Below are 12,786 nucleotides of genomic sequence, written 5' to 3' on the forward strand. Positions count from 1 at the left end.
TCTACACATCCATAAGGAGAAAAAAACATAGAAATAAATGATCAGTCTATATCAACAAGGAAAACTCTGAAAAGGAAATAATCCTAAAAGAAATGGAAAGATGCTTAACTTCACTGATACTCAAAGAAATGCAAAATAAAAAATTAGGAGATGCCATTTCAGACCCATCAGATTGGCTAAAATTTTAAAAGTCGGACAACATGAAATGTTTGACATGATAAAGCAATGACAAAACATGTAGACACTGATGATAGGACTGTAAATGAAAAAAAGCCATTTTGGATAGAAATTTGGCAATATCTATCAAATTTGAGGTTTAGTAGACCTTATATCTTAGCAATTCCACTCTTGGTATACAACCAAGAGAAGCTCTTGCATACAACCAAGAGAAGCTCTTGCATACCTACATAAAAAGCCTTGTATTTAAGAGAATTGTTTTTAAAAGAAAAAAGTAATTTAAAAGTTCATTAGTAGGAAAAGGCTTTATAAATTGTGATACATTCATATGAAGGGATATTATATCAAATTTAAAGTGAGTGAACTGAAACTAACGTATCAATATTGATACATCTAAAATAATAATGTTGAATACAAAAGCAATTTTTAGAATAATCAATATTATTCATGCAAATTTTAGTAACATGAAGTAATACTATATATTGTGTTGTACACATACTTACGGAGTAAATCTACCAAACATGGACAGGACAGACGCATACATCTTTGAGACGGTAGCTATTCTGGGGAGGAAGGAAAAGGGCTGGAAGGAGGCAAGCGACAAAGGATACAGTTATTTTTGGATTTCGCTTCTTTAAAAAGCTGAACCAGGTATAAGGAAATGTTAACATTCTCAAAAAATCATGGTGGTGGGAATGTGAATGTAAGGGTCAGTATAAGTTAGGTTTTGCTGCAATAACAGAAACCCCAAATCTCAATGGCTTAAAAGAGCAAAGATTTCTTTTTTTATTTCATACATTGTAGGTTGGCAGAAGGTGCTGCTTGTTGTTGCCACTCAGGGACCAAGGCTGACAGAGCAGTCACCACCTCCTTGCTGGCAGCTGCACCAGAAGGAAAGAGAGAGCAATTACATGCTCCAGATTGGAAGTGACACACGCTGTCTCCTTTCACAGCTAAGTGGCCCAGACTAGCACCTGGATTTACCTTGCTCAAGGGCCAGGAGTGCAATTCTACCATGTTCCCAGAAATGGAAAGAACTGGAAATATTTAGCTAACAGCGTGAAACTTCACTACGATGGATGTTTGTTACAGTACTTGTCATCCTTTTTTACATGTTTGGATTATGCTTCATATTTTACACAATGGGAAGAAAAGCCCTGGTTTTTAAATCAGGAAGGGTGAGTTTTAGTCTGAGAAACAGAAGGTGAAAGAGTCAGTGGGTGGTGGACAGCAGTGGACAGAGGCTGTCAGTCCCATATATCTGCCTATTCCCAGGCCTGTCTCCATGACTGTAATATCCACAATGATGCTGCAATTATCCCTTCTCCAGAAATGCATGTCCATGTAAATGACCCCAAGCAGGTTGACCTTCTTTGCTTTTGTTTCTATCCACTGAGGCTGAGTAGGCAATAGGAACCCTGATACAAAGAGATGTGGTATGCAGGTCACGGATTATAAGGTCCAAAGACTTCACTAAGTCAGTCCCAGCTCTGCCACTCACACTTCCTGTCACCTTGGGCAAATTGCCATAGTGCCCATGTCTATTTTCCTCCTCTGTAAAATGGGCATAACAATAACACTAAGTCTCTGAATAGTTGTGATAAACAAATGAAGTATGTAAAGTGTTTTGTAACTGTAACGTGCTGTACAGAAGGTCACTGTTACTAAAGACCCAAATTTCACTGCAAGGGAAGCCTCAGTCCAGATTTACATTTCTGGCCGACAATGACTCACACAACTTCCTTCACCAGAGCCACCTGGTTGACAAAATAGACCCAGGCATCATTCTGTGGTCCAACTACTTGAAGAATCTATTGATTTCCCCTTGCGAAAGTGAGTCTGGGAGCGGGGATTAAGCATTACTGCAGATTCCCCAGGGGAGAATAAAGGGAGAGGCTATGATTCCTGTGAACACGGCCTGAATGGGGAGATGCTCTAGGCCTGGACTGAAGCCTGGGTCTCTGGGACCCATGGAATATTGGAGCTGGAAGAGCACACAAGGGAAACAGTGATCTTTCCCATCATTTTTGAAATGAAGAAACTTAGGCCAGGAGGGCCAAAAAGGATGGCCCTTCTCAAACAGCAAGAGAAAGATAATCAAGAGATCTGAGATTTATCCCGGGATCTTCTATTAACTCAGGGCAAGCCCCTTTTTACCAAATGCCTGTTTCCTCACAGGCAATTCAGGGATTGAACCTGACCTCCATGGTGATTTCTAATGCCTGTTACCTTAAGTGACACTCAGTTCTATTACATGTAAAATGCAGTAGAGTTCTCCTGAAAAGTGAGCTTTCTGGTCCAGGTATTGACTTTGTAGGTTTGGCTCTCAGGAGTTATCTTCTTGTCCCCCTATTCACTCTCTGAATGCCACCTATTTTCCTGCTAAAAAAATGCTTCTTGGTGTCTTGCTAATTTTTTTCTTAGACCTTGGAGCCTTCATGCTCTGGACTTTCCTCTTACCTAACAAATATTCTTACCTGCCACTGTTACCTGCTCTGGGGGCTTGGCCAGAATAGCCTTCAGTGGGTAGCAGAGAACATGAGACATAAGTCTTGCCCCCAAAGTCACTCCCAGGGGATGCCCTGTATGGCAATATTGCTGCTGATAACATTTCCCCAGAGATCACAGGAAGCTGCGCAACCAGATGCAAGTGTATGTCTGATCTACAGGCAGCAGGTGCATCCTGCTTTGACAGGAGACGCAAACTCTACAGGAGGATCTCTCATGCCATATTACCTGGGGCCTTGCCCCTGAGGCTGACACAGTTTCTCCTCAGAGTTTGCACTAACTCATTCTGCCAGCAAGTCCCAGGAACAGAGAAAAGACTAATGCCTCCATCCATAATAACAAAAGGTAGCCATCACACCTGCAAGGCACTTCTTAGTCTGCAAAGCACTTTCATACCCATTAGCTTATTTGATTTTTATGAAGAACTGAGAGGTAGCTGGGGAAGGGATTTTTCTCCTGTGTTATAGATGAGAAAGTTTATCTGAGGCCCAGAGAGGTTAAAGAATGTAAGGTCAGATCTTTTGATTCTAATTCCTGTTCTTTCCCCATGGTACTACTGAAGTATTATCATCTTATTATAAAATTATATTAACAATCAAGCTAGAGGGTCTAAATCACTCTCAAATATATAGATACTCATCAGCTCTCTTTTGCCCTTCAATTAACAATTTAGGAGGAGAAACCATTTCTGAAACCAAAACAGCATTTACATTGTGGTTTGTGTATTATCTGGTGTCTAGAATCCAGGTCTTTAGTTAACCTTTTCACCCCTTGTCCATTTTCACCCCTAACTGGGTTTTTATTTTGATCAGTACAACTGGAGAAGGAAAAGCAAATGCTGTTGTACTCGTCATCATGTGGGTGTCCGCAACCTCAAAATGTCTCCTTAAAGGGATTTCCAAGGTTGAAGGTCATAACAGGAACTCTGTACTGTCTAAGACCTGTAATGATTCCCTATTGCTTAGAGGGGGCTGAGAACCAGCAGCATCAGCATCATCTGAGAGTTTATTAGAAATGCAAATTTTCAGGTTCCACTCCAGACCAACTGCATCAGAATCTATATTTTAACAAGATCCCTCAGGTCACTGGTAGAGTCCTTTATTTACCCCAACTGCCTGTGAAGGCAACACTGTCCAGTTATACATTCTCACTTCACATCTCGCCTTTGCTCCTGCAATTATTCCTTCCCCTTGTTTGTCCTTGGACCAAATCCTTCCCATGCTTTAAAGTCTGTATCCTCCAAAAAGCCAAGCCAGAGCTTCCCAGGAGGGAGTAAACTTTCCTTCCTCTAAATCCCAGTGCCACAGGCCCTGCACTTTCTATCTTAGATTATGATTTTTATGATCATGATTTATCTCCCTCTTTAAATTATGAGCTCTTCAAAGTCAAGATCGAGGTCTGATTCATTCCTATATTTCCGAAAGCAACGCAATACTTTGCACAGTTCCTACTGCAAATTAGTTCCCCAATGCATTTGTCCATAATATTTCTTTCTGTTTCTAATTGAGGTATCTAGAGAGATTAAGAAATTCAGGTTATTTTTCTTATTACTTTAGTCAACAATTATCATATATGATTATAATCTAGACTTGGAAATATTTACCTAAAATATTCAGTCACTATATTCAAGCATACATACACACACTCCCCACCACAAATACACACAAACACTTTGCTCATTTCATTTGTTTTTCATTGTTAGGAGAGCAGTTGGTCAGAATTTATTGAAAGTACGGGTGAAATGACTGCTACACACATTTTATGATCTTACCAAGAAAAAATTAAGAACTTGATCCTGTTATAGAATGGAACATAGTATCCAGATCTCAGAGTCTCTATCACGATCTGCGTTTGGGACAAGTAAAGGTCCCCTGGCCCTTGTTCAATTGCTTAATGGAAAAGACTCCAAAGACAGAATGCCACTGGTGTTCTTCCAATTATAGAATCATCTGATTAGAATTACAGTAAATGCATAGCTCAGTTTGCATTGTCCTGAGGTGAACCGCAAACCAAGCTGCTCTGGTTGGAGCATCGGAGGGTACTGAATGCTGAAAGCCCACTACCTCATCTCAGCGGGGCACTCATACAAGGGCTAACTTGGAAAGGGACAGATACCAGTTAGGATATTCCACTTCTGGGGACCCTGGAGCTCTGGGGGCCAGAGCTAGATGGATTATTTAATTAATGTTTAGTAGAAATAGTCAAATAGCACACACTCTAGACATTAAGCCAATCCAGACCTTTGGACTGAATTGGAGGGAAGATTTGTCTTCGTGACTATTTTAGAATTAATTATTCTAGTTTATTTCCAGCCTGTCAGCATTGAGTCTTGAGAGGTGGTCTGTAAAACACAAGTTTTTCCAATCATGGGGTTGTGTTGTGGTCCCATGGGTTTTCTTGCTCTGTCTGGCCATAGAAGAACAGATCAGGAATCCTACAGAAGAATCCCAAATCCATTCCTCCCCTTCTACTTATTTCAGTTACAGCTAGAGGGTTGGGACTCATTCGTGTGTTAGAACCAAACCTGACTATTGTGTTATTATTGCTTCTAATTTAACTACCAGACTGTTAAACATTACTGCCCCAAGCTCAGCCAGGGGTGGGCACTGCACTTTGAAGCCACCAAGTCAATAGTGCTATTGGATGAAACTCTGCTCTACTGGACCATGAAATGGGTTTTCAAAGGGACAGAGAATGACAGATGTGTGAGCCGTGAGTAAAACTGTCTCACCAGAGTGGTAACGTTCATAATGGAACAGAAAGAAGCACCACAGTGTGATGGGAATCTGTCCAATCAACAGCACAGCCAGGCCAAAGCACAAACCAGGGAACACTTTGGAGATTTGTTTCCTCATCTACAAAATTCTATTAATACTGCGCATGCTCTCCTGAGACTTACACAACTACATATTTTTTTTTAAGGTAGCAGTTGGAGTCTACTGCTGCAACCTGCTAGCTGGGTGACTTTCAGAGTCTCTGTTTCCTCATCCAGGCCTACCGACCTCACAGAGTTATCATGAGCATCCAAGGAAGTGACATGAATTGGGGTTGCCTTGATTTAAGTTGGGAGGATGATGTCTACTTTCTTATTTTCTAAAAGTCTTCAGTAGAGGAGAGATCAGAAAAGCCCTCTATAAAAGGCTTTCTTAAGTATTAAGGTTTTTGTCACTTTCCTTCCCTGCTCTGGACCAATTGCAGGAATCATAGATGTAATCAAAATCAGGTGATGTTAAAAAAAATCAAATAATTAGCCAGGTGTGATGGCACACACCTGTAATCCCAGCTACTCAGGAGGCTGTGGCAGGAGAATTGCTTGAACCCAGGGGATGGAGGTTGCAGTAAGCTGAGATCATGCTACTGCACTGCAGCCTGGGCAACAGAGTGAGACTCCATCTAAAAAAAAAAAAAAGTATTGAATATAAGCTATATGCACACATACATTTGCACACATCATTGTGAATATCTTGAAAAGAAAAACATTAATCTTCACAAGCAAACTTATCTGTCAGGCAAGTTTGTTCTTAGCTAGAAACTTGGAAGGAGAGTATTGGATAGTAGAGATAAAAGAGAAAGCTCTAATGATTGGCTGTTTGGACCAAATCAATCCATCTGCCCATCTCCACCCCAGCTACTCTTGATCATGCTGTTCATCACCTTTCCCTTAGCCTGTACTGATTGAACACTACACTGCCTGTATTATGCATCAAATATAATTTGACATCAGTTTAGAGCCACTGGGCCTTTCTCAACAGAAAATCTTGAAACTATCTAGAAATTATCTATGAAATGCTGGTACTGAAAGTGTTGTGGAGAAAACTTGTTTGTAGTTTGGTTTTAGGTGACAGAACACCAGCAAGAAAGAGAGAAGGCTCTTCCAGACAATAAACATAGGCGACTGGTAGGTCAAGGCCAGGTTAAATGCCACCCAGTGTCCTTCTGGGAGAGCTTCATGTCCTAGGAGCATAGCATGTCAAGGCTACCAAGACTCAAAAATCACGTACCACCCACCTTGCTTTAGATATGGGGAAACAGGGCCTCAGATTGTGGACATGACCACGTCCAAGGTCACACAGCCTATGGCAGAACCAAAGCTAGAAATCAAAATGCTATGCTCCAACTTCAGGACACTTGTTCCTACAGCACAGTGACATTCTGTCAGGCTGTCAAGCTCTCAGGGATGGGAACTTATCAAATAACATGGAAATGTTTTCTCATTTGTCTCTGAAGGTTACAGAGTCTGAGCATTCTTAGGCTCTTGTACAACAAACAGGAAGACTGCCAGGGCTTTGGCTCCCAGAAAGTGGCAGTCCAGTGCTGTGGAAATCTGGACTCTAGTCTCAGTTCACACACTAATGCTTGTGTCTGATGCACTTTGGCTCCAAACTGAAACCCCTTTGTAGCCCCAGGAAGAAAAAGGGTGCTACAAATCAAGAAAAAATGGGCCGGGCATGGTGGCTCACGCCTGTAATCCCAGCAATTAGGGAGGCTGAGGCTGATGGATCACGAGGTCAGGAGTTCGAGACCAGCCTGGTCAAGATGGTGAAACCCTGTCTCTACTAAAAATACAAAAATTAGCCAGGCATGGTGGCAGGTGCCTGTAATCCCAGCTATTCAGGAGGCTGAGGCAGGAGAATCGCTGGTACCGGGGAGGCAGAGGTTGTGGTGAGCCAAGATCGTGCTACTGCACTCTAGCCCGGGAGTTACAGAGCAAGACTCCGTCTCAAAAAAAAAAAAAAAAAAAAAAAAAAAAAAACAGAGAGAGAGAGAGAAAATGAAGACAGTTTTCTCTTTTCAGGAGCATGCCGAGGAGCACAGTGATGGTGTCAGTGCCCTGCAGCTCTTCAGAGCCCACCTCTTTATTTAGAGATATGTGAGTATGGAAATGAATACCCACATCTGTCTACTAGAGGCTGACAATATTAAGTCCTGGCCTCTGTGTGTGTGTGTGTGTGTGTGTGTTTGTGTGTGTGTGTGTGTGTGTGTGTGTTTGTGTGTGTGTGTAATTAAAGCTCCAAAGCTCCTCTCTCACTCTAAACATCAACTCCAACTTGTTGAATGAATGTCTATAGACAACTTGTATCTTGTCACTTTTTATTAGATTCTGTATTCTGAAAGTCACGTAAGTGTGTTCTATTCCACTCTACAGATGAAGACTCTGAGGAACAAACATCCTAGTCACACAGCAAAATCCAGGAGTGGAAGTCAGTGAAAGCTCTGAGACCAGGGCTTAGCAGCTGTTTCCCAGGATGAACACAAAGGCATGGCCTGGATAATTGAATTCAGGGACCCCGGCAAGGTGCCACCAGTTTCCCGGCCACCCTATGCTGTTATTTTACTAGAATGTTTGTTATATCAATTGTCTTCTCTTTGTTAATAGCATCCTTCTGAAGCAGTATTATTCCCTGTCCCTATCCCCTACCCCAGCCACTCTCTCAACACACAAACGCGTACACACACACACTCACACACACACACACTCACACTCACACTTGATGTAATTACTCCTATTCAGTGTTCAGATTCAGCTTAAACCCAGTTTCTTCAAATAACCCCTTTCTTATCATCAACACTCCCCTAAAACAATTCCTCCTGTTCTGTGGTCTCTCACACCATCTGTCTTTCCTTCTCAACACTATCCCAGTTTGCAAGCATCCATTGAACTGTGGCCGTCTGATGAGTCTTTGACCACCTTGATGTTGGGGACTATCCATATATATATATATATATATATATTTTTTTTTTTTTTTTTTTTTGAGACAGTTTTACTTTTGTTGTTCAGGCCAGAGTACAATGGTGTGATCTTGGCTCACCATAACCTCCGCCTCCCGGGTTCAAGCGATTCTCCTGCCTCAGCCTCCTGAGTTGCTGGGATTACAGGCATGCACCACCACACCTGGCTAATTTTTTTTTTTTGTATTTTTAGTAGAGGCAGGATTTCTTCATGTTGGTCAGGCTGGTCTCAAACTCCCAACCTCAGGTGATCCACCTGCCTCGGCCTGCCAAAGTGCTGAAATTACAGGTGTGAGCCATTGCACCTGGCCCTATTCGTACTTTTTAGCCTCCACTGTACCTCAACACTTTGCCCAGCACCTAGTGTAGAGGAAACATGCAATGAAGAGCTGATGGGTCAACAGAAGAATGAGCAACTATTCAAGACTTCAGGAATTCCTCTCTTGTGAGTGGGGCTTTCAAAGCTTCTTTCAACTGCTCAACAACTACCCATCATCTGCCAGCCACTCCCACTCTCTATTTATACCTGATGTTTCTTGTACTTCCCTTCAGTGTGCTTGTAGTTTCTACAGCGCTGGTTTTCCTGTCCCAGATTCTTTGTCTATCAAAACACTCACTCTTCAATGTCAGTCTAAAAGTAGCTCTGCAATGTCTTCCTTGAATTCTTCATAGACTATTAAATATCCTTTCCTCTGTTTTCCCACAGCATCCTGTGCTCAGTGCTATTGTGTGCCAGGGCTGAGATCCTGGGTTATTTATCTCCATATCCCCCAAGAGGGCTCTGCCTGTAGGTAGTACTCAAATAATATTGAGTGAATAAATCTAAGGATCAAAGGTTTCCATCATGAGATGCTGAGCTCCTTGACAGCAGGAACCCTCTATTAACCCCTCTGGCACAGTGTGTTGCACATAGTAGGTACTAAACTGTGAGTTGAATCAAATGCCATCCTTTCCCAGAGATGATGTAAAGAGGCAAAGTAATATATTGGAAATAGTGTAAACTTTGAAATCCTTCAGGTCTGTGTGGCCTTGGGAAAATGACTGAACCTCACTGAGCCTCATGTTCCCCATCTGAGGATAACACCACTGCCTAAGACAATTGTGACAAGACATAAATGTTGATGAGTCTGGCATTGGCGTGGCACACAGGAGGTACCCAGGCTACATCAGCTCCTTTTCTCTCTTCTTTCCTGAAGTCACAGAGATTGTCCAGCAGATGGGAATGTCCATGCCCAGTGGCTCATGCTCAAACCCTTTCACCCTGACACAGTGCGGGGAGACAGGAATAGGCTCGAAGGATGACTCAGCTCCAGTGACTAAAGCAAGGAGGTGGTGGTGGTAGGAACGGGGTAGGGGCTAAAAAGGAAGTGAGTTAACACTATATCTGATGAAGGATGACTCCAAAATAAAAAGGGGTTGGCCCTAGCTGGTTCCTGGCTCTGAAACGGTGCAAGTGAACAGGGGCCTGAGTGCTTCTCCATGACTCCCTCCACCTCATCTCGTGGGGAACTCCCTGCCTACCCAGGGATGTCTTCCAGAACAAATGCTGAGCATTCTCTCTCCTCTGGAGGCTTTCAGACCAGGCACTAGAGCACACTTGAATGCCACTTTTGATGGAGTGTTTTTTTAAGAAGTATCCCGTATGACTGAGATCAGCGTGCATGGATTCTAATCCTGACAGCCACCTGGGCCTCTCTCCTCGACTCCAGACAATCTTTTCCACCCACACCACCACTTTGAAATCCCCAAATATTGCACATGCAGCAAGGTTAGACCAGTCTTCCTGCCTGCAGGGTCACCCCAGTCCATTTTCTAGACTGTGCACAGAATGATATGTTCAAAACTAATTTATAATTCTGCTATCCCTCTGCTTAACATCCTTCAAGGTTTTCCCAGTTTCTACGGAACAGTCTAGACTCCTTCATCTGGTGTATAAAGCCTTTCATGATCCAGCACCTCCTCATCTTCTGGCTTTGCTTGCTGACCCCACCCCATAAACTCATACATACAGAGACACACCCTACATTTCAGCCAGCTTTCAAGAGTCCTTTTATCAGATCTCACACTTCCCACCCCTGGGTCTCTGAACATGCCACTCCTTCTCACAGCGACACACTTCTCCACCTTGGGCAAGACTGCATATCTTTCCAGATTGGGTTCAAATGCTGTCTCTGCTGTGTGGGCCTCTCAGATGTCCACTTGGCTCACCGATTGGCATTGTGACTTGTTTATGCATGCTTCTCTCCACTAGACTGACAGATCCTTGAAGGCAGGTCCTTCCACAGAATACCTACTCAACAAATGTTTGTGGAATACATGAAATATCAAAAACAGGCACAAAGTAATAAATCAAGCAATTTTTTCTCTGGTCTCCAGTGTTTTCATCTATAAAATATGTATCTGATCTAGGTGCCTTAAAACCTAGCAGCCTCAGATTTTATACTGTATCATTCTTCAAATACACATGTCACACTCCTGGCCCTCTAAGTAGTAGGAGATATTGCTGGGTTATTTTTTCCCAAGGAGAGAGTGGAACTCTGGATCCACTGACACTGCAGAAAGGCTGATCTCAGAAGCTCAGGTTGACATCACAAAACTACTGAAAGCCAGTGCACTACATAAGGACCCAAAAAAACCCAGGACTCTGGCCATATCACCAGCACAGTCATGGGTATCATTCACCCATATGGGTGATCATTTGCAGGCATTCGTATGAGCATTGTCATAGTCCTCAGGCAGGCACACAGGGTGACACATTTGTGCAAAGAAAGCCACCCACAGAGCCTCACCTCACCAAGATCACAATCTCCGTGATCCCCGCACCTCCCAGCATCACCCACACACTCACACACCCACAGGGTGTCAGGTTGTCTGTCTGCAAATCTGGAGTTCTACACATTGGACCACAGCATCCTTCAGCAGGGAAATAAGTGCACTTGTGTTCTCATGGCTCTCTCCCTCTGATCTCTATCGTCAGCATGGTCCTCACTGAACAGCTTCTGCCAATATGCTGGCATGAGACAACCTGAGTTCACCATCAGCCTTGTGTGGGAAAATTGATTAGTTTCCATGAGCCTCAGTTTTCTCATCTATAAGATGGGACTAGTGGCCCTGCTTACTCTTTTCTTACATAGGTACTGCCAACTAATTACTTAATTAATTCAATAAGTATTGAATTAATGCATGCAAATGCACCTCATAAACACAGGCACAATGCAAATGTGTGGAAGTCACAGAAATAATAATGTTGGTGGACAGTAGTTTCTGGCTCTAATGAAATGCTCCTTTTCCAATAAAAAGGAACAATTCAAAATCGAATAGTTATTGAATACATATTACATGAAAGGGATTATCACCAACCATAAGTAACTATTTCAAAGCTGTATTAGACAGTGCTGTAGTATGTTTGTGTCTGAAGGAAAATGTTTCATATTTCATGGTTTTAATATATATACATTTTAGTACATTTTACACAAATGGAAAGAGAAATAATATTTTCATATGTACAATATGAAACTATGGACATATATGCAATAATATTTTCGTGTGTGTGTGTGTGTGTGTGTTTGTGTTTGAGAAGAAAACACTACCTATGAGTCAGGAATGAAGTGTAATGAAAAAAAAGCATGAATTTTGGAATAAAACATACACACCTAGATTCACATCCTGATTATTACTTATTAGCTTTTTGACTTGGGACAAATTGTATTATTTTTTGTTATTTTTATTTTATTTATGTTTTTATTATTTTATTATTTTATTTTTATAAGGTTTCAAAAACTGATATGTAATAGTTGTACATATTTTGAGCATACCTGTGATATTTTGATACATGCGTACAATGTGTAATGACCAAGTTAGGGTAACTGGAATAGTCATCACCGACATCATTTATCTTTTCTTTGTGTTAGGAACATTATAACTCTTCTTTCCTAGCTATTTTGAAATATACAAAAAATATTGCTAACTGTAATTATCCTACTGTACTATTGAATACTAGAACTTATTCCTTCTATCTAACAGTATTTCAGGGAACAAGTTTTAAATTTACTAAAGCCTCAATTTCCCCATACTAAAAAATGGAAATAAAAAACTTAGCTCATAAGTCTGCTGGGTAAATCACTTTGAAAAATTATAATATTGAATAGTCACTAGGACAGAGAGGGCTCAATAAGTGTCACTGTTGCCCATTTTGTGTTCTCTGTCTCACTAACCCTCTGTGTGACCTGGGACAAATCGCTCCGCCCCTTGGAGCATGTTTTCTCACCATAGAATGGGAGAGAAGAGTTTGATGATTCCATGGATTCCTTCCAGCCCCAGGAGTCACAGTATCCTATATCCAGTATCTGTTTTATGCATGCACGTGGGTTT

At 41.8% G+C, this 12,786-nt stretch overlaps 1 annotated feature.

Annotated features, from left to right (window-relative positions):
- Nucleotides 9,608-9,902: an enhancer, noted in NCBI's record as "tiled region #2895; K562 Activating non-DNase unmatched - State 6:EnhF, and HepG2 Activating DNase matched - State 7:EnhWF". NCBI's record gives its function as "activates a minimal TATA promoter and a strong SV40 promoter by Sharpr-MPRA in K562 cells, with weaker activation in HepG2 cells {active_cell/tissue: HepG2 | K562}" and the evidence as "EXISTENCE:reporter gene assay evidence [ECO:0000049][PMID:27701403]".

The sequence above is a fragment of the Homo sapiens genome, chromosome 3 (assembly GCF_000001405.40).
Source record: "Homo sapiens chromosome 3, GRCh38.p14 Primary Assembly".
Taxonomy (NCBI): Eukaryota; Metazoa; Chordata; class Mammalia; order Primates; family Hominidae; genus Homo; species Homo sapiens.